Source organism: Homo sapiens, chromosome 4 (assembly GCF_000001405.40).
Source record: "Homo sapiens chromosome 4, GRCh38.p14 Primary Assembly".
NCBI lineage: Eukaryota > Metazoa > Chordata > Mammalia > Primates > Hominidae > Homo > Homo sapiens.
In genome coordinates this window covers 184,940,387-184,967,562 of record NC_000004.12, presented here as the reverse complement: position 1 = coordinate 184,967,562, position 27,176 = coordinate 184,940,387, and the positions used below count along the sequence as shown (strand labels likewise).

Here is a 27,176-nt window from a genome sequence, read left to right as displayed (position 1 = left end):
CCCGGCACTCATCCCGGCACTCCATCCCGACACTCCATCCCGGCACTCATCCCGGCACTCCATCCCGGCACTCCATCCCGGCACTCATCCCGGCACTCATCCCGGCACTCCATCCCGGCACTCCATCCCGGCACTCATCCCGGCACTCATCCTGGCACTCATCCTCACTCATCCCGGCACTCCATCCCGGCACTCATCCCGGCACTCCATCCCGGCACTCCATCCCGGCACTCATCCCGGCACTCATCCCGGCACTCATCCTCACTCATCCCGGCACTCCATCCCGGCACTCATCCCGGCACTCCATCCCGGCACTCATCCCGGCACTCCATCCCGACACTCCATCCCGGCACTCATCCCGGCACTCCATCCCGGCACTCATCCCGGCACTCCATCCCGACACTCCATCCCGGCACTCATCCCGGCACTCCATCCCGGCACTCCATCCCGGCACTCATCCCGGCACTCATCCCGGCACTCCATCCCGGCACTCCATCCCGGCACTCATCCCGGCACTCATCCTGGCACTCATCCTCACTCATCCCGGCACTCCATCCCGGCACTCATCCCGGCACTCCATCCCGGCACTCCATCCCGGCACTCATCCCGGCACTCATCCCGGCACTCATCCTCACTCATCCCGGCACTCCATCCCGGCACTCATCCCGGCACTCCATCCCGGCACTCCATCCCGGCACTCCATCCCGGCACTCATCCCGGCACTCATCCCGGCACTCATCCTCACTCATCCCGGCACTCCATCCCGACACTCCATCCCGGCACTCCATCCCGACACTCCATCCCGGCACTCATCCCGGCACTCCATCCCGGCACTCCATCCCGGCACTCATCCCGGCACTCCATCCCGGCACTCATCCCGGCACTCATCCTGGCACTCATCCTCACTCATCCCGGCACTCCATCCCGACACTCCATCCCGGCACTCATCCCGGCACTCCATCCCGGCACTCCATCCCGGCACTCATCCTGGCACTCCATCCCGGCACTCATCCCGGCACTCATCCTGGCACTCATCCTCACTCATCCCGGCACTCATCCCGGCACTCCATCCCGGCACTCATCCCGGCACTCCATCCCGGCTCTCATCCCGGCACTCCATCCCGGGACTCATCCTGCCACTCCATCCCGGCACTCATCCCGGCACTCCATCCCGACACTCCATCCCGGCACTCCATCCCGACACTCCATCCCGGCACTCCATCCCGACACTCCATCCCGGCACTCCATCCCGGCACTCCATCCCGGCACTCATCCCGGCACTCATCCCGGCACTCATCCTCACTCATCCCGGCACTCCATCCCGGCACTCATCCCGGCACTCATCCCGGCACTCATCCTGACACTCCATCCCGGCACGCATCCCGGCACTCATCCCGACACTCCATCCTGGCACTCCATCCCGGCACTCATCCCGGCACTCCATCCCGGCACTCATCCCGGCACTCATCCTGGCACTCCATCCCGGCACTCATCCCGGCACTCATCCTGGCACTCATCCTCACTCATCCCGGCACTCCATCCCGGCACTCATCCCAGCACTCATCCCGGCACTCATCCCGACACTCCATCCTGGCACTCATCCCGGCACTCATCCCGACACTCCATCCCGGGACTCATCCTGCCACTCCATCCCGGCACTCCATCCCGGCACTCATCCCGGCACTCATCCTGGCACTCATCCTCACTCATCCCGGCACTCCATCCCGGCACTCATCCCAGCACTCATCCCGGCACTCATCCCGACACTCCATCCCGGCACTCATCCCGGCACTCATCCCGACACTCCATCCAGGCACTCCATCCCGGAACTCACCCGGCACTCATCCCGGCACTCATCCCGACACTCCATCCCGGCACTCATCCCGGCACTCATCCTGGCACTCCATCCCGGCACTCATCCTGGCACTCATCCTGGCACTCATCCTCACTCATCCCGGCACTCCATCCCGGCACTCATCCCGGCACTCCATCCCGGCACCCCATCCCGGCACTCCATCCCGGCACTCATCCCGGCACTCCATCCCGGCACTCATCCCGGCACTCATCCCGGCACTCCATCCCGGCACTCATCCCGGCACTCATCCTCACTCATCCCGGCACTCCATCCCAGCACTCATCCCGGCACTCCATCCTGGCACTCCATCCCGGCACTCCATCCCGGCGCTCCATCCCGGCACTCCATCCTGGCGCTCCATCCCGGCACTCATCCTGGCACTCCATCCTGGCACTCCATCCCGGGACTCATCCTGCCACTCCATCCTGGCACTCCATCCCGGCGCTCCATCCCGGCACTCATCCCGGCGCTCCATCCCGGCACTCCATCCTGGCGCTCCATCCCGGCTCTCATCCCGGCACTCCATCCCGGCACTCCATCCCGGCACTCCGTCCCGGCACTCCCTCCTGGCCATCACACACTGGCTGCACACCTGCGGTGTGCTGGACATACAAAGTCAACAACAGAGGCCTTATCTCGGATCTCTTAGTGCTTTGTACCCAGATGATGGCTGTTACTCAAATACATACATCAATGCATGTATTTATATTCCATTACAGATTGAGACAGGGCACAGCTGTATGAAAACAAAGCCCTAGCTTAGACTAGAGGCAAAAAAAGAGTTTGGATTTCTTACCCTTTGGGTGGGACCCAGGACACATGGCAAAAACAGAAAACTCAACAGCAGGGCACTTTTAGAATTCGTGAAGCTCCATATTGTAAAGATACTTAACTTTAAAATATCAACATCAATTCAGGTTCATGCCATTTCTCTATCTCCAGATAGCATAGGACCTCACATGGGGAATGGAAACAAATCCTATTTAAGCAACTCACAAACACAGACTTTGAAATAACCCACTGTTCTCCAAGCACAGATTCATCCTCCATTTAGGGCACTGCAACATGAAGTCACCCCTTACTATTTCTGAAAAGGAAGCAGGTGACACGTGCCCTGTGGACCAAGAGTTAGTGATTGACAGTGGGAGTGCTGACCGCTATCCAGGTAAAAGGTTACAGCGACGTCCTCTCCTCAAAGTTTTCTGAAAAAATGTAGGTCGTTAGTTGCCATCACAGTTCACTGTTCACAGTGGCTGAAAGAGAGTATGCCGTTTTTCGGTGTTTTTTTGTTTGTTTGAGACGGAGTCTCGCTCCGTCGCCCAGGCTGGAGTGCAGTGGCGCGATCTCGGCTCACTGCAAGCTCCGCCTCTCGGGTTCACGCCATTCTCCTGCCTCAGCCTCCTGTATAGCTGGGACTACAGGCGCCCGCCACCACGCCCGGCTAATTTTTGTATTTTTAGTAGAGACGGGGTTTCGCCATGTTGGTCAGGCTGGTCTACAACTCCTGACCTCGTGATCCGCCAGCCTCGGCCTCCCAAAATGCTGGGATTACAGGCGTGAGCCACCACGCCCGGCCACCTTTTTTACTGTCATCCATTCATGGCACATAGCAGACAGCAATCCCTTCAGTTCCACCAGTGCTAACATGTATTTTCATTGCCTGAGTATTAGACTTAGTATTTCATGTTAAATTAAAATCTGACTCTCAACTATTTCGCTACACTCCAGGTACTTCTACTCAGCTAAATCCATAGACACAAGTAGAAGGGAATTTAGACGTTAATCTAGTAGTTACCAGAGTTTTAGATCTCACAGGCTGATAAAATTTTATAAAGACGATTTGGGGCCTGCTGTGGTGGTTGACGCCTGTAATCCCAGCATTTTGGGAGGCCAAGGTGGGAGGATCACCCGAGGTCAGGAGTTGAAGACCAGCCTGGCCAACATGGTTAAACCCTGTCTCTACAAAAATACAAAAATTAGCTGGGCATGATGGCGGATTCCTGTAATCCCAGCTATGCAGGAGGCTGAGGCAGGAGAATCACTTGAACCCAGGAAGCGGAGGTTGCAGTGAGCTGAGATTGCGCCACTGCACTCCAGCCTGGGTGACAGAGCAAGATTTTGTCTCAAAAAAAAAAAAAAAAGATTTGGAAGAACTGTATTGAGTTGCTAACTTTTTATTCACTCAGATGAAGTAATTAGAATACATATCATCCACCTCACCACTGTGATAGAATTCACATGCAAAGTGAATTGTAACAAAACAGAACTTCTCAGCATTTTAATAGAAATAAATTAGCTTCAGGACAAAATTATTACTTTTTTTGTTATTGTGGTTTTCTCTTTTCTCCATCAACCTGTGAAAATGAATACTTTTTCACAGTCTAGCACCAGTTCTTGCACTAGAATTTGAGAACCCCTGACTTAAATCAGTGATTTAAATCCCTCCTGCCCTTATTTACAAAGGAGGAGGCTGGCCCTGAGGGACCGCATGGGCTGCCCCATCAAAGTTTCCAGCTCACAGCCGGGGAATAGCCCTGGTTCAGGCCGGGGCTTCTGAACCCACGTTCAATGCACCTGCCCTCTGCCTTATTGCCACAAGTTTCTGCAGGGCCCAGCAAGGGTCCCCAACTCTCCGATTATGTGATTGGCACCATATTGTCCAGGGAAAACTGAAGGAGGATGGCTGAGGGACACAGAAGGAGAAGCAGGAGGCCTGTCCCTCTCTCTGCAGCCCTCTGCAGTCCACATGCCCTGGGCTGTATTCTGAGACCGGCTCTTCCTCCTGCCGGCAAGCCTTGATCTTCAGGTATCCTTTAGTTGGGCCCATTGATTCTTTCAGACCATTGGGAAATATTTTGCTCACTACTAATGCCTATAGTGTCCATTCCTCTGCCTCCCTCTCCTCCATAAAGACGGGGCTCCAGGAGTTGTGGACTTCACTGCCTGTGCTTTCAAAGAATTAAATATGACTTCAAAAGTATCCCAGGATGTTCAAGGTTTTATTGCCAAGTCAGGGTTTAACCTAAAACAAAATAGAGTCACTCAGGAACAGAAAATCAAATACCACATGTTCTCACTTATAAATGGGAGCTAAGCTATGGGTACGGAAAGGCATACAGAGTGGGTACGATGGACATTGGGGACTTGCAACAGGGGAGGGAGGGATGAAAAATCACATGTCGGGTACAGTGTACACTATTCCAAGGACGAGTACAATGTGCACTATTCCAGGGACCGGTACAATGTGCACTATTCCAGGGACGGGTACAGTGTGCACTCTACCAGGGACGGGTACAGTGTACACTATTCCAGGGACGGGTACAATGTACACTATTCCAGGGACGGGTACAGTGTACACTATTCCAGGGATGGGTACAATGTGCACTATCCAGGGACGGGTACAATGTACATTCCAGGGACTGGTACAATGTACACTATTCCAGGGACGGGTGCACTAAAAGCCCAGACTTCACCACTACACAATTCATCCATGTAACCAAAAACCACTGGTACCCTTAAAGCCCTTGAAAAATAAATTTTTTAAAATAAAAGAAAATGAGAGATTCTCTGGCATACAGTGCTAGTGGCATACCGCATTTGGGAATTTTAGATTTAAGCAATAGAAAAAGACTCTGGTTCATTCAAGTGGAAAGGGACTGTATTGGAAAGGGTATCGGGTGTCCTGTTGGAATCACTGGAGAATGAGGCCACTTAGGAGCACCACCCAGCCATAGCCCAGAACCTCCGTGGCTGCTGCTGGGACCAGCAGCTGTTTACAGTGCGGTCCCCAGAGCTTCCAGAACCTCTGCAGCGGCCACACCCATCCTCAGGGCGGAGCCGGCCTCACCCCTGCTACCTCCCATCAGCCACTTCCAGTCCACAGCCTGGGCTAGGGCTGGGGAGCAGGCAGAGCCTGGGCCACCGCTCACTGTGGGAGTCCGGGCAGGTGCTCTCCAGCACTTTTATCCTGTACTATACAAGGCAGGCTTTTCCTCCACAGGGCAGGGGGTTCCTGAAATGGACAAGCTGAGATGCTGAGCAGCCAAAAAGAACAGCAGATGTAGGGTTTTCTTTTAAATTAACTTCTCCGAAAGTTGGGGAGGTGGAAAATCTCTTTCAGAGTAGTCAACACAATCCGTGGACTTGGGCCCAGATTTGATCGTTGTTCGAATATTTTTTTCTTGCTTTAGAGAATCCTCTCCTAACAGAGGCTCAGTGCCTATGCATGCCCACCTTAGGGTCACCCGCAGTGACTTGCTGGACTCCCTTTTCTTGGTGACTGTGTGAACCCCAGAGCTCCACTGGGGCTGCTGAGATCTGACAGGGGGTCTGGCGTGCCCAGGAGGGTCTGTTGAGGGCTTGTGAACCATCTCAGAGAATTCTCTTGGTGGGATTTCACTGTGGCACATGAAGCTGTTCTTTTTCTTTTCTTGCATTTCAGCTCCCTTCAGGCTCATTGTAGTCAAAGTCCTTACAAGTGGAGAATGCTAAGCTGTTCAACAGGGTGGGCTACTCAGGTGTCTGGGCGGGGCCTCTAGCAAGGAAGACTTCAACCTGGGCCTTTCCCAAGGCAGGCAACTCCAGAGAGAGTTGACCCCGGCTCAGACTTCCCAAACTTTCCACTCAACTGCTCCTGAAGGCTGAAGGCGAGAGAGCAAAGAACCCCAAAGGGCAGGGATGTCTAGCCAGAAGGGAGACAACATTTCTTTGAAGGCAAGTTCCATCTTGCAAATCTGTGCAGATTTTGAGAGTGCCGCAATGTCTGTGTGTAAGCGCGGCATGCAGAGCCTGGAGATTTTCTTTGTGGCTGGAGGGCTGCCATTTCAAAGTCGCCAGCAGTTTCTGCACTGGAGGTCGAAGCTCTTAATGCCCTAGAAAGGCTTCTTTTGTTTTGAGAAAATGAACCAGGCGGGGTCTTTGGGAGCCATGAACTCGAGGCATGTTCATTATTCTCCTGGGGCCCCCTGCACGCCCTGAGTGCATTTGAGAGTGCCCGCTGAACTGCACCCTGCAGAGTTCGGAGAAATATTTTGTTCTTCTCCCCACATGCAGACTTGGCCTGAGCAGGAAACTGTTGTTGCTCTTGGGAAATGTTTGTGTGCCTTTTGGTCTAAGCTTGCTCACAGGAGGCCTGCAGCCAATGCTGGACTCTGCCCCCAGATCTGGCCTCTATCTCGCCTCACACTGGAGAGAGATGGTGACAAGAACAGTCCAGATGCAGCATGGTGCAACCTGGACTGATTTGCTAAAATTGTGATAAAATGTGCATAAGATAAAAGTCCCCATTGTATTCATTTTTAAGTGTGCAGTTCTGTGGCCTGATACACACTCACATTTTTGTACAGCCATCACCGTGCCCTAGCTCCAAAACTTTTTCATCCAACCAACTGAAGCTTCCTCTGTACCTGCTAAACCCTAATTCCCCCTCCCCTTCCCGCCAGGCCCTGACAACCACCAATCTATGTCTTGTCTCTATGAATGTGACTACTCCATGTACCTCCTAGAATTGGAGCTGACAGCGTTTGTCCTCCTGGACGGATTCCTTTTTCTTTTTGTAGAAACAGGGTCTTCCTACGTTGCCCAGGCGGGTCTCGAATTACTGGCTCCAATGATCCTCCCGCCTTGGCCTACCAAAGTGCTGGGATGACAGGCGCGAGCCACTGCACCTGGCCTGGACGGATTCTTATTGGCATCTGAGACGGAATGGACTGGGCTTTGTGAAATTCATCATCAGTTACTCTATTGACTGGCACCGGCCGGCAGAGACCAGAACCTGTGGGTCGGAGTGGCTGTTTCCTTCTGAACAAATAGATGCTTCCACTGTTAGTCATCCTGAAAAGAGTTTAATCCCAGAGTACAAAAAGAAGTGGACTGAGACTGGGGAAAGTAAGGCTTTCCTCTCTGCAGCTTGCTTGGCCTTCATTCCAAGGTGTGGAGCTACCTGGGGATTCTTCCTGGTGGGGTGTGGGTGGTGGCGCCTGTGTCCATGGAGGGAAGCCTGCTGCGGGCAGTACAGCAATTGTGAGGGCAGCCAAGCCCTTTTAGTGCAGGCATCTCTTACGCTCTGTGTGGTCCTCCAGCTAGCCCCAAGGCTCAGCACCACGTGCTTACATCAGCTCATCATCTCAGCCAAGCTGCAGGGATGGGAGAGGTGGATGTCCTGGCCACCAGGCTGCAGGTGGGAGGCAGTGGGGGGCATCAGCTGGGCCCCACCGGGCAGACCTGTCATGAAGGTACAGAGGCCGGAGACAACACAGATAAAAAAGTGAAGCCAAGCGAGATGTCCCAGAGTACCGTGGGCAGCGTGCTGGAGCATTCACGGAAGTTCCAGCAAGCAGCCTGGTGTGAGCTCACGACATCATCACTTCCATCTGAAAAGAGAAGGATAATTTACTTTTTAGACACAGGCTTGTGTCTAAAGAGGCCAGAGACACTGAGTTAAACACATCTGACTTAATATCATAATCTTTCAAATTATTTTCCATGAACTAAAGTGATGCTCAAGGAAGACCATCCCTGCAACCCGCCTCTACTCACCGCTGCCCCAGCACCCTGGCTGGAGACACAGAGCCCTGGGTTCATTCCAAAATGCAATGACAATTTGCTTTCACACTCAAAATATGGGAAAGACTTTAGAGTGTGCGGTAGTTCCCGTTTCTGTGTAGCTTACATCAGGGCGGGTATCTCCGGGGCCCTATTCAACGTCGTGCTCAAGCAACCCCAAGCAGTATTCAGGAGCCACTTGGAAGGAGCTGCAAGGTTTAAGCAGTTAATGAACATTCAAATCATATAGTAGAAAATAAAACCTCGAACACGGGGTTTTAGTATCTATGGAATCTGATGGGTTTGAAGATAAAGTGCCCACAGAGAAGCCACAGCTTCAAGATTCTTCGTGGTATAGTTATTCAGGGAGCTTGCCAATTGTGAGCTGCAAAATCATAACATTAATACTTAATAATAGGCTTATTCCTGTTACTCTTTATTATCCCAATCATGTTCCCAGCTATTATCTCCTTTCTCCCCTTATACCATCCCTGGGGAGAGGCTGACATAAATTATTATCCCTCCTTTAAGGGGGAAGGCATTAAAGCACAGAGAGATTAAATGACATGCCTGAGGCTCTAAAATTAGTGTGCAGCACAGGCGAGGTGAGAGCTTGTGTGTCTGTTTCCCCCAGTGTTCCTCTGCTTCTCTGGCTAGCTCTGGGTATCCAACCTCTCTAGGTCCAAACATCTCAGCCACCCTCATAAATAGCCATGAAGTCTTGGGAAAGCCTGCTGCTCTGCACCCGGGCCTGTTTCCACCTCACATTAACATGCCTTTAGAGCAATGTCTAGGAGCCACCTCTTCTCAGAGGCTTCCCTACCCACCTCCTGCTGAGATGGTCGCCACCTCTGGCAACCTTCAGCCACACCTGGAATTAGCCCCACACCAACAGCGCGGGGCATGTAATTACACGCTTTCTAGAATTATGTGCTCATGGCTTGCCAACTAAAGGGTGAGCTTTCTGAGGGTTGGCCTCCAGCTGCATCCCATGCGTCTTCTTTGGTGTCCTTCAAGGCCTCTGGAAGCAAGTTGGGCAGCACGGGGGCCTAATAAACTTGCTCAGTGATGTGTTGGGTGCTGTAGGACATGAGTGATGGGCAAGATGGATTCTCTGTGAAAGCTCTGCTGCTTGTTCCAGTCCCTCTCCGTCCTCCGCTCCATTTCATTCCGCACACATAGCTATCACTACCACTGTGCTATGCATCTGTCTGTCTGCACATTTACGGCTGTCTCTCCCACTGCAGTGTCAGCTCCAGGGGAGCAAGGCCCTTCTTGCTTCTCCAGATCCTCACACACATAGCAGCCGCTTGTTCCATCGGGATGTGTATCCCTCCAAGTCTCATGATGTGATCCCCAGTGTTGGAGGTGGGGCCTAGTGGGAGGTGTTTGCGTCATAGGGGCTGATCTCTCTTGAATGGCTTGGTGCTATCCTGGCAAGAGCGAGTGAATTCGTGTGAGATCTAGTTGTTTAAAGAGTGCGGCACCTCCAGCTTCTCTCTCACTCTGCTTTCACCATAGGATGCACCTGCTCCCCCTTCCCCTTCTCCCTCAATTGCTTGTAAGCTTCCTCAGGCCCTCAAGTGGCACAGATGTCGGTGCCATGCTTCCTGTATGGCCTGTAGAATCGTGAGCCAATTCAAACTTTTTTCTTTACAAATTGCCTAGCCGCAGGTGTTCCTTTATAGCAGGGGTCTCCAACACCCAGAACCAGGAGGTTAGGAACCAGGCTGCAGAGCAGGAGGTGAGCAGCAGGCAAGCGAGTGAAGCCTCCTCTGTATTCACAGCCACTCCCCATCACTCACATACCGCTTGAGCTCTGCCTTCTGTCAGATCAGCGGCAGCATTAGATTCTCAAAGAAGAGTGAACCCTTTTGTGAACTGCGCATGCAAGGGATCTAGGTTATGTGCTCCTTAAGAGAATCTAGTGCCTGATGATCTGTCACGGTCTCCCGTCACCCCCAGATGGGACCATCTAGTTGCAGGAAAGCAAGCTCAGGGTTCCCACTGATTCTATACTATCATGAGTTGTATAATTATTTAATTATATATTACAATGTAATAATTATAGAAATAAAATGCACAATAAATGAATCATCCTGAAACCACCTCCCACTTCCATGGCCTGTGGCAAATTCGCCTTCCATGAAACCAGTCCTTGGTGCCAAAGAAGTTGGGGGACTGGTGTTTTTTTTTTTTTTTTTTGAGACAGAGTTTTTGCTCTTGTTGCCCAGGCTGGAGTGCAATGGCGCAATCTCGGCTCACTGCCACCTCCACCTCCCAGGTTCAAGTGATTCTCCTGCCTCAGCCTCCCGAGTAGCTGGGATTACAGGCGTGCACCACCATGCCCAGCTGGTTTTTTGTATTTAGTAGAGACGGGGTTTCACCATGTTGGTCGGTCTGGCCTTGAACTCCTTACCTCAGGTGATCCACCTGCCTTGGGCTCCCAAAGTGCTGGGATTACAGGCATGAGCCACCATGCCTGACCAGGGACTGCTGTTTTATAGTAACAACCAGACTAACACAGTGCTCAAACACTTCTTTTTTTTTTTTTTTTTTTTTTTGAGACGGAGTCTCGCTCTGTCCCCCAGGCTGGAGTGCAGTGGCACGATCTTGGCTCACTGCAAGCTCCGCCTCCTGGGTTCACGCCATTCTCCTGCCTCAGCCTCCCAAGCAGCTGGAACTACAGGCGCCCGCCACCATGCCCGGCTAATTTTTTGTATTTTTAGTAGAGATGGGGTTTCACCGTGTTCGCCAAGATGGTCTCGATCTCCTGACCTCGTGATCTGCCCGCCTTGGCCTCCCAAAGTGTTGAGATTACAGGCGTGAGCCACCGTGCCCAGCCTCAAACACTTCTTGAATGAATGAATGAAGGTCCAGACCAGTACTCCACTTGGCATGCTCACCAGCCCATTTGCATCCAAATCACCTAAGATGCTTGTTTAAAATGCAGGTTCTTGGGCCTCATCTCACAACCTCCAAATTAGAATTTCTGGAGGTGGGACCCAGTGTGTAGCCATCATTTTGATATATGTTAAAGCTGAGACGTGGTGCCCATTTTATAGATGAGAAGGGTGAATCTCAGAAAGAGGCTTGCTCAAGGTCGCCAGACAGGTTACGGCCAAGTTGTTATCAGAACCCAGATTTCAAACTCTCCATCTGGAGCTCTATTCCTCTAGGCTGCCTCATCTTTGTGATGGTAACATTTTCAGAAGGATCGAGTCCATAGTTTGTGTGAGGTCATTTGATGTTCAGAACAACCCAGTGTGGTAGATACTATCATGACCTGAAGCGTAAAGACCAGAACTGAGAGCAGTGGCTGGCACTGAGGCGTGACCACCCAGCCTCCCGTGGGGTGGGGCGGCTGCCTGACTCTTGCAAATACAAGGCCCTTGCTTGCTCCGGACACAGCACTGCTTTCAGTGATGGCATTTTTTTTTTTTTTTTTTCAGATAAAGACAACTAAAAATCGCTTGGGTAGGTAAGCTGTAGATAATGTTCATATTCTGTATACGCAAAGGAATGGATGTCTTCAGTTGGGTGCATCCATACAAGAAAAATATATATAATTAAAAAGATTTAGACTCCGGGATATTCTTCTCCAGTTGTCTACCAGTGATTCCAGGGGAACCCCTCCCTTAAGTTGGAAAAAAAATCAGGATACAAAGGATAAGACTTCTTCTTCCTGCCAGGAAGTGTGTGTTCTTCAAGCTCAGAGGGCAGGAGGGCTCAACACATGCCCGGGGCCAAGGCTGAGTTCCCCAGAATTCCTCAGGAGGTCTGGGACCAGTGAACCTGCCCGACTGCCCTTCTCCCTGCCCTCCTCCCTCCACACACACATGTGCTCTGTCCACTTGTGCATTTGAGCATCTGTGGGAAGACTTCTGAGTACATTCAAAGAGGAAGCCAGAGGGCATGCTCCAAACCCATGCCCTGGGTTGGCCCTTCCCACTCAAGGCTCTTTCCCAGGCAGGAATTCTTCCTCGCCTGCTGGTCTGAGGGTCACGAAAAGAAGGACTCTTCCATGTACTCACCGGTCTCTGCTGACACAAGCCGCCTCTGTGCATCTGGCAACAAGAGCCGGGAGAAAGGAACCCATGGGTGTGGGTGGCTCTATTTCTGGGCACACAGGTGGCTTCTTGGCTTCCCAGGCAGGATGCAGAGCACCCTGGGGACCAGTCCCGGCTTTGAGAGGAGCGATGGTGTCCCTAAGCGCCTGCCTGCACTCCCAGGATGTAGCCTCTTCTCCAGAAGAGGAGGAGGAGCTCACCAACCTTGGATATTTCTATGGGCTGAATCGTGTCCCCCGAAATTCCTGTGTTGAAGCTCTAAACCCCAATACCCCAGATTGGGACTGCATTTGGAGACAGGCCTTTTAAGAGGTGATGGTTAGGATGATGCCGTCAGGGCAGGCCCTAATCCAGTGTGACTGGTGATCTTCTAAGAGGAAATGTGCATGCACAGAGACAGCAGAAACGTGCGCACGCAGAGGAAAGGCCCTGTGAGGACACCGGGGAGACGGCGATTCCTGGCAAGCCAAGGAGGGGCCTCTGGAGAAGGTGGCCCCACTGACACCCTGACCTGGGACTTGGAGCCTCCAGGACTCTGAGAAGTCACTTTCTGTCACGTAAGCCACCCCACCTGTGTTTTCTCGTTAAGGCCGCTCTAGCAAATGAATACAAATACAGGACAAAGAAGTCCTGATGGTTGTGAATCTGTTTTGTCTTTTCACATGTGTGGGATGTCTTACGTCTTCTCTGGGCTGAGGTCTGCTGGTGGATGGATTCACACTGCAGGCATTCCTCCTGGGAGCTTTCCTGGGTCTTCTCTCTTGAGTCCCAACCTCAACCATCCCTCCATGCTGACAATGCCCAAATTCCCAGCTCTGACTTCTCCAGCCTGTATTTCAGCTTACTCCTCCCATTGTCACACACAAGTCCGAACAGGAATTTATTATCCGAACTTCCAAACCCACTCGTCCTTCCAGTGAATGGCATCAGCATTCTGCCCTGCAGGCTTGAAAAGGCAAGTATCGTGGGGTGCCTTGAGAGTGGCGCCTGGAGCCACTGTCTTTCCGGAAGTTACTGAACTATTTTCAAACTGTGCATTGAATATCCGTTTGTAGCACAGCGATTTCTACTGTGTGACACTGAAGTTGAGTCGCTGTCCCCAGTTCAGGGGATTGCATCCAAAACATAATCATCAAGCCCTCCCATCTCAAGGGCAACTTGTCTGGAATCACAGTCCCTGTCTTGGTTTCTGGTACCTCTTCCTTGTTTCAGTTCTTCATCTCCATGTTACCAGACTGTTGAAAGGCTTTCCAAGAGGCTGGGTGTCCCTGGTTTCAACTCTAGATATTTATGCCCCTGCCAGAATAATCTTCTGGATTTACTTTGAAGGCTTTTGATTATGTGCAGGATAAAATCTAAATCCCTTTCAATGGCATTCAAGGTTCTCCAGCTCTGATCCTAACCGGCCCTCCCAAGGCTGTTTCCCATTCTTCCTCTTCTCACGCTGCATCCTCTCACTCAACAGACGCAGCCAGGCTTAAAGCCGGACAGCCTGGGTTCAAATCCTGGCTTCGCCACTTACTTGCTGTGTGACCTGGCGGCGGTTTCTTAAGCACTGGGTATTAATATCAATATCTAACTCTAACCCAGCACTTAGCTTGTATCAGGCCCCACGACAAGGATCTCATGGATTATTTTGCTTAATTCTCCTGCCAGCCTGATTCTGTAGGGAACCCTAGGTCTTACTATTATCTCCCTTCTATGTAGAAGCCATTTAGGTGACTTGCCCAAGGCTTGAAGCCTCAGTTTTTGCATCTGTAAAATGAAAATAATCATTGTTTCTCCCCGTGTTAGTCAGGACTTTACGCAGTTGCAAGTGACAGAAACCAACTCTAAGGAGCTTAAGCAAAACAAAAGAGGCGCTCCTTCCGGGGCCAAGGGATGTCCTCGGTCCGCTCCAGCTCTGCCCTCGCCTGATCCAGCCTCCCACGGATGGATGTTCTTAGGATGCAGAAATCCAGCCTCACATGATCCCTGATGCCTGTGATCTCAGAAGGCAGGATACCCTCTCTCCCAGGGCCCAGAATCACCCCTGAGAAGGACCCTGATAACCCAGGTCAAGGCGCCAGCCCTGCATGCGGGAAGGGAGCCCGTGTTTAGAGGTTCCACTGGGCAGTTCCCCAAAGGAAAAGATTCTGGGGCTGCTCAAAACTAACAAGTGTTTGCTAACTTGGTAAATTTATTCAGCTGAATAGTTTTGGAGTGCCTGCCATGTGCTGGTGTGGGGAACCAGTATGGAGCCCACGTGGAGGGAACTCCATGAAGGCACCACTCCTGGTGGCTCCTCCAGGAGACATGCCATACATTGAACAGGGGTCAGCTCAGATTTCTCCTGCCAACACCAGGAAACACCTCCATCCCTGGGCCTGTGGTTTACAATGCGGTGCCCACGTCACCCCTCCCCTCCTCCTCTGTGACAGAGGACGGGTGTGTGTGTGTCTCAGCGCACATGGCAGGACCTGTGCTCTGCATCCCTAAGCAGTCTCAGATAAGGGCTATGCTTACTAGATGCACTGATGAAAGGATGGAGAGGCGCACTGGGCTTTTTTTGCCTCAAAACTGGCATGGAAAATTCAGGTTGTATCGCAGTTCAAATGCAGAAACATGAAGCTGCTTTGTATCAATATGCTTTTCTTTGATTTTGCTTCATCCACTTTATGGAACATCAGAGTGTCTCAGTGCAGAGGTCCCTGTGGGTCAGCGTGTCCCCAGAACCTGCATCTGTACAACACTCCTCTCCCAGGTTCTACTGCATGCGTCCCCAACCCCATGCACACCAGGCGCCAACACGCACGGCCACGCGTCCCCCACCCCATACACACCAGGCGCCAACACGCATGGCCACGCGTCTCCCCACCCCATACACATCAGGCACCAACACGCATGGGCACATGTCCCCCCCATCCCCATACATACCAGGCGCCAACACGCATGGCCATGCGTCCCCCACCCCATACACACCAGGCACCAACACGCATGGGCACATGTCCCCCCCATCCCCATACATACCAGGCGCCAACACGCATGGCCACGCGTCCCCCACCCCATACACATCAGGCACCAACACGCATGGGCACATGTCCCCCCATCCCCATACATACCAGGAGCCAACACGCATGGCCATGCGTCCCCCACCCCATACACACCAGGCACGAACACGCATGGCCACGCGTCCCCCCACCCCATACACACCAGGCGCCAACATGCATGGCCACGCGTCGCCCCATCTCATACACACCAGGCACCAACACGCACGGGCACACTGCGCCCCGTTCAGTGGTGTCATTCAAGGCCCTTTGGTGGCTATTTATTTTTTAGATACAATTCACACACCATAACATGGGCCTTTGAAAGGTACAGTTCAGTGGTTTTTAATCCTCACAACATTGTGCAACCATCACAGGACCCAATTCCAGCACGTTCTCTCCATCCTGAAAGGAAACCCACATCTGCTGAGACAGCCGCACTCCACTCCCTGTCCTCCCCGTCCCCTTCACTAATCTGCTTTCTGTCTCTATGCATTTGCCCGTTCTGGACATTTCACAAAAAGGGAATGGTTCGTTCAATACACGGCATGAGTGACGGGCTTTTTCACTCGGCATCGTGTTTCAAGGCCCTTCCGTGTTTCGTGTGAGTCCGCACCTCATGCCTTTTCACGTCTGAATAATAGTTCGCTGTCTGGATAGACCACATCTTGCCTCACCATGGACGTTTGGGCTGCGTCTATGTTTTGGCTCTTGTGAATAATGCTGCCACCAACATTTGGGTACAGGTTCTTGCGTGGACATGTGCTCTGAGTTTCCTTGAGTGTATGTCTCGGAGTGGAGTGGCTGGGCCATATGGTGACTCGATGTTTGACTCCTGGAGGAAGCACATGTCACATTCCCACCAACAATGCCTGAGGCTCCTATTTTCCCACATCCCCACCAACACTTGTTAGTGCGCACTTTTGGTGGTAGCCATTCTAGCAGGTGCGCCCACGGGTCTGGCTTCCTCACACAGTGGTGAACGGCTCCTCATGCACCGTGCCAGTCCTGCCTCTCCCCAGCATTTTAGGCCGGCTTCAGCTTCGTCTCCTCCGGGAGGCTCTCCGTCACCACTCTGGCCCTCTGGATCTTGTTTGTGACTTTTTCCAAAAGGACTTGAAAGGGCACGCCACCTGTCTGTCTTGAGACTTCGATTTTATTCTGCCTGAAGTTCCTGTTCTGGCTTTTTGGAAGAATCTCTCCTCCTGCCCTGCCACTTTTCTGACCAAATATTGCTTCTCCTTTGAGATCTAGCTTCTCCTCTGCCTCAGATCCTGGAATCTTCGTCCCAGGCTGGGTGCTCACTCTTTCCTGTGAGCCACCACTCTGCTCCACAATAGTAACCAGCATTTTATTTATTTATTTTCTGAGACAGGGTGTCACTCTGTCACCCAGGCTGGAGTACAGTGGTGCAATCATGGCTCACTGTAGCCTTGACCTTCCAGGTTCAAACAATCCTCCCACCTCAGCTTCCTGAGTAGCTGGGACTACAGTCGCATGCCACCACGCCTGGCTAATTTTTGTATCTTTTATAGAGACGACATTTTGCCAAGTTGCCCAGGCTGGTCTCAAACTCCTGGGTTCAAGCAATTCACTCATCTTGGTTTCCCAAAGTGCTGGGATTACAGGCATGAGCCACTGTGCCCGGCCTGCAGGGACAAGATCCTGATCATTGTGCTATCCAGGGCCTCCATGGAGTTTGGTAAGTGCCCCGTGCTTGGAAACCCTGTCACTCACAGCAGCTGTGAACTTATCCCCCAGTTCCACAGTCCTGAAGATCTCAGCAGTGAGCCTTCACCCCCTGCAGGGGATCGTGACCTATAACCTGCCCAATCCAACGCTCTTCCCAGGAACAGCCTTGCCCATGGGTGGACCAGGCAGCTGCCCATCTGGTCTTCTCTGGGGGTCTCAGGCAAAATATTCCCCCCCCCCACTCCGCAGCCTGCCAGGAATGCCTGCTTTGCCAGCAGGATTTTGCTTCTTTGAGTTAAGGATGAAGGAGCAAGAATCACAGCACCTTGAGGTGGTCTTAATTTGCACTACAGCCTCACACTTACTACCTCTCGTGTCTACCCCTGCCTCCATGGAGAGATTTTCCCTCAATTCTCTTTCTTCTTCATTCTGTGATGCATTCCCTCACTCCTGGACTTTGAATAGAGAAAATAGATATTAGCTGCTATGTAGCATTATATGATTTGGGAATCATGATATAATCCAAAATCTCACCAAATATGTGAAAACTGCCTCCAGAAAATAGCAACGATCCTTCTGCGTCTGCTCTTACATCACAGAAGATGGAAAGGGCACCCATTTAGTGGTCTCTATTAACCGCAAGTAGCCCTGGGAGGGTAACACATTAAAATGCTGTCATTCAAGTATAAACATGTTCATGGGGACCTTTGCAGAAGACCTTTGGCCAAGAGCATGGGTTCAGAACGAGTTAGGGAAAAGAGACACAGTGGGAAAGCTAATGTTTCGGGAAAGCCTAAATTTATGCACAATTCTGCATGATTTTGACAGAGTAATTAACTCTGAGTCTGACCCTGTAGGGACTGTGGAAAACCACAGAGGAAGAATAGAAGCTTGGCAGAGGGTGGGATGGGGCAGTTGGAAGGATAGGGATGATGTGGAGATGGAGGCAAACTACTCAGTGCCAAAACCGTGGCCAGGTGCAAGGTGGGACACTGTACAGAGTGCCACCAGAGTCTGCTGCTCTCCTCTTTCTACCCATCATCCCGTCATCATTTCTGCAAGAGCAAGAATAGATGGGTAGGAAGAGAGGAAGGAAATCCTCAAGGCCAGCAACACCCACAGGAGCAAAACAAGCTTTAACTTACAAGTAACCTACATGTGGCCTGAGGGGTGTTCCCAGGCAGATGCCATTCATTGCAGAGCTGTTGACAGCCAACCATGTTCAAATACATCTGGAGCACATCTCTCTGCTGTGTACACTCTGGGCAGTATTTGGGGAAATCTTAGTGCAGCCTGTGCCTGAAGTTAAAAATCGATGCCAGTGGAATGGAATTGAACAGATGCAAGGGCTTTGCTCAAGCAGCGACTCAAACGGCCTGCCTACCTCTTTTCTTTCCTTTCTCTCTTCCTTCCTTCCCCCTTTCCTTTTCCTTCTTTTCTTACTTTCTCTCTTTTTTACTTTTCATTTTGAAATAACTTTAAACTCATCAAAAAGTTGTACAAAGAACTCCTGTATGCCCTTTATTCACTAACATTTATCATTGTGCTACATCTGTCTTACCATTTTCTCTCTTTACAGCTATTTTTTTCTGAGCCATGTAAGAGTAGTAGGCAATACATATATCATCCCTTAATTCTTCTGTGTATTTTCTAAAGGAAAAAGGACAATTTTAAACATAACCATAGTACCATTATCACATTCAGGACATTTAACATTGACATTGACACAATACATTTATCTAATCTAGAGCCCATTGTCTCCTTCATCAACTATCCCAATAATGTAATTTCTTACAATTTTTTTCTTCTGAAACAGGATCCAACACAGGGTCATATTACATTCAGCTGTTTTCTCTTTATAGTTTCCTTTAATTTGAATCAATTCCTTGGTCTAAACAAATCCTGATAATATAATGTACACGACATTAAATAACTGAAGGATACAGGCTAGTTACTTCATAGAATGGTCTTCAATTTAGGTTTGTCTGAATTTCATCATGACTAAATTCAGATTTTTCATTTTGACTTGAATACTACAGAGCATCACATCCAGACGCCCATTATGTCCATTTGTTCCTCACTGCTGTTATACCTCCCTTTCTTTTATCCTTAAATTAACTGTTTTGGAATACCTGTATGTGTGTAATAGAAGAAAATTAAAAGCTTCTTCCCATTTCAAAAATGTTACTTTTCTTTATCAAAATAATCTCTTCCTTCTGGATTCTCTATCCATAGGAGAATATTTGATTGTCTATTATCTCAGAAAAAATTGACTTATCTATACTAAAATTTATAATTATAGATGGAGTTTTCAATATCCTTCTTACTTCAATTGATAGGACTAAGGAGACAAGGAGACAATTGGTGAAGCTATACAAAATTTGGGCAACACTGTTGTATTAGCCCGTTTTCACACTGCTATAAAGATACTAGGTAATTTACAAACAAAAAAAGGTTTAATTGACTCACAGTTCCACATGGCTGAGGAGGCCTCAGGAAACTTACAATCACAGCAGAAGGCAAAGGGGAGGCAAGGCACGTCTTCACAAGGCGACAGGAGAGAGAGAGAGAGAGAGGAACAGTAACAGGGAAACCGCCCCCATGATCCAGTCACCTCCCACCAGATCTCTCCCTTGACATGTGGGGATTACAATTTGAGATGAGATTTGAGTAGGGACACAGAGCCAAACCATATCAATTATCAACCAACTTAACTTAAGTGACATTTATAGAACCTTCCACCCAACAATAGCAGAACACACTTTCTTGAGAGCACATGGAATATTTACCAAAGCAAACCATATTGTGGGCTATAAAACATATTTCACACCTCAATAAACTTAAAAGGATTAAAGTCAGACAAAGTATGTTCTCTGGTCACATAGTATTAAATAATAAATCAATTACCAAAAAACCCTCTTTAAAAATCCTCAAATATTTGGAAGCTAAATAGCACACAACTAATTAACTCTTGGATCAAAGAAGAAATCAAAAGATAAATCAGAAAGTAGTCTGAAGTGAAAGAAAATGAAAACATAACATATCAAAATTTGTGGAATGTGCCATTAAAGCAGTACCTAGAGAGAAACTTAGAGCAATAAACACATTAGAAAGGAAGAACTGTTTTCAATCAATGACCTCAGCTTCTAATTAGGAAATTAGAAAAAGGAGAGCAAATTAAACACCACATAAGTGGAAGAAAGTCCATTAAAGCTAGTACCATTAAAGATCAGAGCAGAAATCAATGAAATAAAAAAAGATATAGAAAAATCAATGAAACCAAAATTGGTTCTTTGAGATCAATACAATTTATAAATCTCTAGACAGATTGATCAAGAAAAAAAAGAGAGAAGTTACAAATGACCAATATCAGGATCGACAGATATGCCATCACTATAGATTCTGCAGAGATTAAAACAATGGCTTTCAACTGGGGGCTATTTCCCCCACAGAAGATATTTGGCAGTGTCCGGAAACTGGGAAGCTGAGGAGAGGGCATCACTATGACATCCATCCAGTGGGTGGAGATCAGAAATGTCATTAAACATCTTACAACGTGTAGGATATGCTGCCTCAGTAAAAAATTATCCAGTCCAAAATGTCAGTCATTCCCTGTTGAGAAACCCTGCTTTAAAAGGATTTAAGGGAAGCCGGGCATGGTGGCTCACGCCTGTAATCCCAGCACTTTGAGAGGCTGAGGCAGGCAGGCAGGCAGATCACATGAGGTCAGGAGTTAGAGACCAGCCTGGCCAACATGGTGAAACCCCGTTCTGAAAAAAAAAACAACCAACCACCACCACCACCACAACAACAACAAAACAAGCAAACAACAACAGAAAGATTTAAGGGAATATTATATGTAACTTTATGCTACTAAATTCAACAACTTAGTTGAAATGGACAAATTCCTTGAAAGACACAAACTATTAATCTCATACAAAAAGAAATAGATAGCCCAATATTTATGAATGAAATTGAACTTGTAGTTTAAAAGTTTCCCACAAAGAAAACTCCAAGCACAGATACCTTCATTGATGAATTCTATGAAACATTTAAGGAAGAAATAATACCAATTCTATATAAACTTTTTCAGAAGATGGAGGCTGGCATTGCCCTGATACCAAAATCAGACAAAGACAATAAAAGAAAAAGAAAACTACAGATCAGTCAAATCCAACTACAGATGTGGGTGTGTATATGATAATACATTATGTGTATGTATGTGTATACATATAGATAATATATTATGACCAAGTAGGGTTTATTCTAGGAGTTCAAGGTTAATGTTTGAAAAATTAATGAATATCATTCGTTAAGTTAGTAGAAAAAGAAAAACCATATGATCATCTCAATATATGTGAGGAAAGGATTTGACAAAAATCCATCATCCTTTCCTGATAAAATCTCTAAGCACACTAAAAGTAGATGGAAACTTTCTCAACCTGATAAACGACATCTATGAAAATCCTATAGCTAATGTCATACTTAATAATCATAAAAGACTGAATGCTTTTCTTCTGAACTCATGAACAAGTCAAGTATATCTGCTCTCACCATTTCTACTCATCATTGTACTAGAGGTTTTTAGTTCAATAGGCAAGAAAAAATAAAAGGCATCCAGATCAAAAAGGAAAGATGTCTTTATTCACAGACATGATCATCCATGTAGAAAACCTGATGGAATCTACAAAGAAGCTAGTAGAACTAATAAATGAGCTTCGCAGGACATATGATCAACATACCAAAGTTAGTTGTATTCTATATATTAGCAATAAACAATTAGAAATTTAAATAAAAGTACATTTGCAATAGCATTAAAAATATGAAATATTTAGGAATAAATCTGACAAAAGTTGTGAAAGACCTGTACACTGAAAACTAAGAATCACTGCTGAGAGAAATTAGAGAAAACCTACATAAGTAAAATGATAGGCTGTGTTCATGGGTTCAAAGATTCATATTAAAATAGCAACTCCCCAAATCTATAGATTCAACACAATTCTAATAAAAAATCTCATAGCAAACTTTTTTGTAGAAATTGAAAAATGGATTCTAAAAATCATGACAATGCAAAGGACCTGGTATGGCCACAATAATTTTGAAAAAGAACAAAGTTGGAGGACTAATACTACCTGATTTTAAGACTTATTATAAAGCTAAATTAATCAAGATGATATGGTATTGGCATAAAGATAAACAAATAGATCAATAGAACAGAACAGAAAGACCAGAAATAGACCAACACATATATGGACAACTGACTTTTTGGCAAAGGTACAAAGGAAATTCAATGAAGAAAGGATAGTTTTTTCAACAAATGGTGCTGGGATAATGATATCTACATGGGATGAGATGAATTTGAACTCCTACATTATAAATATACAACAATATATTCAAAATGGATGATAGCTGTAAATGTAAAACCTAAAACTGTAAAACTTCTAGACATGGCCAGGTGCGGTGGCTCATGCCTGTAATCCCAACACTTTGGGAGGCCAAGGCAGGTGGATCACCTGAAGCCAGGAGTTCCAGACCAAACTGGCCAACATGGCAAAACTCCATCTCTATGAAGAATACAAAAATTAGATGGGCATGGTGGCAGGTACCTGTAATCCCAGCTACTCAGGAGGCTGAGGCAGGAGAATCACTTGAACCCGGGAAGCAGAGGTTGCAATGAGCCAAAATCGGACCACTGCACTCCAGCCTGGGCGACAGAGCGAGATTGTCTTTAAAAAAAAAAAAAGAAAAAAAAACTTCTAGATGAAAATATAGGATAAAACCTTTGTGAGCTTGGTTTAAGAAAGGATTTCCTAGATTTTGTACCAAAAATACAATCCATAAAAGACAAGTTGATAAATCGGACTTCATCAAAATTAAAAATTTCTGCTCCACTAAGAGAATGAAAAGATAAGCTGTCTGAGGTTTGCCCCAGCACTTGTCTTGGCTCTGCATGGTGCTCTCTGTCTGTGCCATTCTGTGCTGAACATCGTGTCAGCACACAGAGCATTGGCAGGTCACCCCCATCTTTGGTGAAGAGGGAGGTTGGTTATTTTTGTAGGTACAAATCTTTGTTATAGTAGACTCTTGACAGTTGAGTATTTAAGGTTTGTGTTTCTCACTGCTGAAGAACAACATTCATTTTATGAATGCAGTGACTCAACTGACAAACTTGAATTGGGGGCATTATGGGATCAACGTAGGGGAGTGAGTTCCATCACCCCAGCGAGGTTAAACCGCCGCCCAGCTCCCACATCTCAACATGGCTTGGTCTGGACCTTTACGTTTCACAGGGAAAACTGTGTTCATGCTGGTGTTTGCAACTTGGGGAATACTGAAAATTCTCGGGCTCTGTTTCAAGGAAACGTGACTCCTACTGTGTGTATCATTTCTGTGGGAGGTACCCCTTTCAATATGTACGCAACATGTCCAAAGCCGGGCCTCTTGTTCTAATGTAAAAGCTCTCTCCCACGCTTGTGTTCTTTTCTCTGTGCTGGGCTGCTCGAGAAAGGGGTTGATTCACATTCCTTTTCCCTGGAAGAGCAAGAGCTCCTGGAACCTTCCTGTGTGTGCCCTTTGAGCATCTCCTGGACCTCAGCTACTGGGGGTAGGCCGTGTTCCTGAGTCATTTTCTGCCAACAGGGCTGACCCCGCAGAGTGGCCCACACAAAAGGCTTCGCTCTCTTGCTCTTGTGAACTCTGCCACCTCCTGCTTCAGCCAGATGTTGATGAGAATTTCCTTCTGTACAGGCTTCTGCTGGCCTTGAAAGCATTTAGGTGCCCTGGTCCCGTGCATGGAGGAAGCAGCGGTAACTCGAACTACAGCGTATCTTCCCTCCACCAGCAATGGCTGAGTCTGATTTCCTTCTGAATCCGTCTAAGGGGAAACACGCTTTATCCACAGATGCAAGAACTTTCTTCCAAATATCAACATTCTAGTCTTAGGCAAAGAATTCGCATTCTTTCTATTATTTTGACTCTGCTTCTTGCAAAATAAAACTCCTGGCATCATGGCGCTGACGGAGCAGTCACCTCCTTCCTGGGCTATTTTACTGCAAATGGTTCCTGCATTGGCGGAGAATGCCTCTGTGATGTGGTTTGGATATTTGTCCCCCAAAATCTCATGTTGAAATGTGACCCCCCAATGTTGGAGGTAGAGCCTAGCGGGAGGTGTTGGGTGATGGGGCCGGATCCCTCGTGAATGGCCGGGTGCCCTCTCCATGGTAATGAGTTCTTGCTCTTATTAATTCAAGCAAGATCTGGTTGTTCAAAAGAGTATGGCATCCTTCCCCACCCTTGCTCCCTCTCTCGCCATATGACATGCCGGCTCCCCTGCCCCTTCCATCATGTTTGGAAGCTTCCTGAGGCCCTCACCAGAAGCAGACCCTGGGGCCTGCTTCTTGTACAGCCTGCAGAACCATAAGCCAAATAATCCTCTTAGCCTTGGTACTCCTTTATAGCAATGCAAATAGACTAACACTCTCTGCCTGAGCTGTCCAGTTTGGGTAGGTGCTGGAGGAAACCACAGCTCATTCCAGCTATCCTGTAAGACCTGATGCTCTTTGTGTCTGAGAAATCCTTGACTGCTGAATGTAACAGGCCCTAGAGCAAAGGGAACTAAGAAGGTGGCAGGTAAGGGCTCTGGTCTAAGTTTAGGAGGCGATATCTTCAGTGCTCTGCTTCTGTGTGCCCAGCCCACATCTGGAAAAGCAGATGTGGTTTAGAAGGAGCCACCAGTGAGCGGAGGAGAGGGATGACTTAACATCGAGAAGGATTATAAGGCAGAAACTCCACATCTGGGAACTCTCTAGCAAATATGATAAGGGTCATAAACTACACACCAAGATGCTTCATACTTTATTTTTATTACTATCTTGGATTTGCTCTTCAGGTGCAAAAAAAGTTTCATTGGTTCAAGGTCAGAAAGTTTTTTTTTTTTTTAAACAGCAGTTTTTAAAGTTTTTAATAGGATTCCGCTTACATTCCAATGTAAACACAGCATTTCTTTCCTACATCAGGACTCTGTATTATTTTGTTATTTCTGTGTTAGTTTTTTTTCTTAAGCAATTCACATTAGTTGCACAGCTGCAGGCAAAGCCTGCAACCTCTCTGCATCTCGGTCATCTCCTCTGTACAGTGGAGGCAGTGGGAGCGGGTGTGATGGGAAGGACACAGATGTGACGCTGTCATCTAATTCTGTCATTAATTTTGCTGTGTGGTTTTGCGTTGTGAATACTTATAGAGCAAAATAAATTGTCTTTGGGTCCCTCCTGGGAATACACTTCCAGCATGTCATGACCCTGCTCTGGTCTTCATTTCTTAATTGTAATATCAGGGGTCACAAATAGACAGTGTTGAAGGTTTTCTCAGCTGTTTCATCATCTCATGCACGACTTTCCCTTACTTCCTTTAAGCAAGCATTGCTCGCATAAACACACATGCACAGGCAAGCACACAGAGACACACTCACACCCTCACTGCCCCCCAAGCAAGGGAAGGCAAGCAGGTACCTAGAGAAGCAGGGTCCCATGTCCCACGTGGAGAGCTTTCAGACCCTACCTGCGGGTGTCCTGGTAGTCTTCGGTGCGTTAGAGAAACAGCTCTGACCTCGATGGGTAGCACTTTCTGTGAAGGCCAGGAGGGCTTTATATAGATTCCAGGTCACACGCACCATCAAAAGTACATGGTGACTTCCAGATAAGGATAGCAGGTTGAACATACCTCTCTCCTGATATCTCTCTAAAACTATGGTAAAGGAGATTTCTAATGGCATGGGAGAATGTGAGAGGAGAAAACGACAATAAATTTTGGAATCCAGAAAGCATACACATGACTGTTAACTGACTTAGCAGACATAAAGAAGCTGAATCTTAAATCAGCAGTGAGGAAAGCTAATTTGTACCAGAGTCTCTAAACAGCTGTGAATTGGTAGCACTGAGGGTCCCGGCCTAAATGAATTGTTGAAAGTTTTTAGGAAGTAATTTGGGCCAGGCACCATGGCTCATGTCTGTAATCCCAATGTTTTGGGAGGCTGAGGCAGGAGGATCACTTGAGGCTAGGAGTTTGAGACCAGCCTGGGCAACATAGCAAGACCACCATCTCTACAAAAACATTTGTTTTTAAGTTAGTTGGGCATAGTGGCACATGCCTGTAGTCACAGCTACTCAGGAAGCTGAAGCAGGAGGATGGCTTGAGCCCTGGAGGTCGTGGCTGCAGTGAGCTGTGATCAAGCCCCTACTCCAGCCTGGGAGACAGAGAGAGACCCTGTCTCAAAAACAAGAGGCAATTTCACCTCCACATCACCTCATCCAATTTGTGCAGTCAGACAGTTGCCCCTCCCCCTACTCACAGACTATTAGATATTTATTCTCTGTAGAGAAAATACAGGTCTTCTGACTAGGGGACAGTAGGCATAGGTGGAAGTGGGTGCTATCCCAGAAATAGGGAGACTAGGTAAGTAGATTCTCACTGGATTCTGAGACCTGCAGTCCTCTCCGTCTTCCTTAGCTCAGAATGCTGTCAACCTAGCCAGGCAATTATCCTCCAGGCAAGAGACTAAAAAAAGTCCTGTGGGGATCTGACCAGCCCAAGAAGATCTTACAGATACTGATTATGAGTTTCCCGTGAAACAGTTCGGCCAGCTCAGCCCAGGGTGAAGTTCACTGTTAACGACCCACATACTCAGTTTCCTCTTGCTCTTATGAGCACGTGATCATGGATTCGAGCCACGTGAGGAAAATTCTAAGTGAAAGATCCAGACCAAGACAAACCAATGTAAAAAACAATGTGGACAAAACAGAGCAGCTCTTTTAAAAACTTACCAGTACTAGCTCAAGAGACACGAAGAGATATTTCACCCTTGGAACAGCAATAGAATGACACAAAAATGAGACTTTTGAAGAACGAGGAGCTTTAAACATTTAGAACCATTCTAGAAAATGTTTAAAGCTTACTTAATAAATTGAAAGATAAAATTGAAGAACTCTCCCAAAA

At 48.2% G+C, this 27,176-nt stretch overlaps 5 annotated features.

Annotated features, from left to right (window-relative positions):
• Positions 1,564-2,064: an enhancer, noted in NCBI's record as "H3K4me1 hESC enhancer chr4:185886653-185887153 (GRCh37/hg19 assembly coordinates)". NCBI's record gives its function as "activates a minimal SCP1, AML or CMV promoter by ChIP-STARR-seq in naive H9 embryonic stem cells {active_cell/tissue: H9 hESC(naive)}" and the evidence as "EXISTENCE:reporter gene assay evidence [ECO:0000049][PMID:30033119]".
• Positions 5,254-5,754: an enhancer, noted in NCBI's record as "H3K4me1 hESC enhancer chr4:185882963-185883463 (GRCh37/hg19 assembly coordinates)". NCBI's record gives its function as "activates a minimal SCP1, AML or CMV promoter by ChIP-STARR-seq in naive H9 embryonic stem cells {active_cell/tissue: H9 hESC(naive)}" and the evidence as "EXISTENCE:reporter gene assay evidence [ECO:0000049][PMID:30033119]".
• Positions 5,755-6,255: an enhancer, noted in NCBI's record as "H3K4me1 hESC enhancer chr4:185882462-185882962 (GRCh37/hg19 assembly coordinates)". NCBI's record gives its function as "activates a minimal SCP1, AML or CMV promoter by ChIP-STARR-seq in naive H9 embryonic stem cells {active_cell/tissue: H9 hESC(naive)}" and the evidence as "EXISTENCE:reporter gene assay evidence [ECO:0000049][PMID:30033119]".
• Positions 9,870-10,033: a silencer, noted in NCBI's record as "fragment chr4:185878684-185878847 (GRCh37/hg19 assembly coordinates)". NCBI's record gives its function as "represses an EF-1alpha promoter that drives an FKBP-Casp9 reporter gene in an ReSE screen in phorbol 12-myristate 13-acetate-treated (for megakaryocytic differentiation) K562 erythroleukemia cells {active_cell/tissue: K562(+PMA)}" and the evidence as "EXISTENCE:reporter gene assay evidence [ECO:0000049][PMID:32094911]".
• Positions 26,634-26,928: a silencer, noted in NCBI's record as "tiled region #4878; HepG2 Repressive non-DNase unmatched - State 24:Quies, and K562 Repressive DNase matched - State 7:EnhWF". NCBI's record gives its function as "represses a minimal TATA promoter and a strong SV40 promoter by Sharpr-MPRA in HepG2 and K562 cells {active_cell/tissue: HepG2 | K562}" and the evidence as "EXISTENCE:reporter gene assay evidence [ECO:0000049][PMID:27701403]".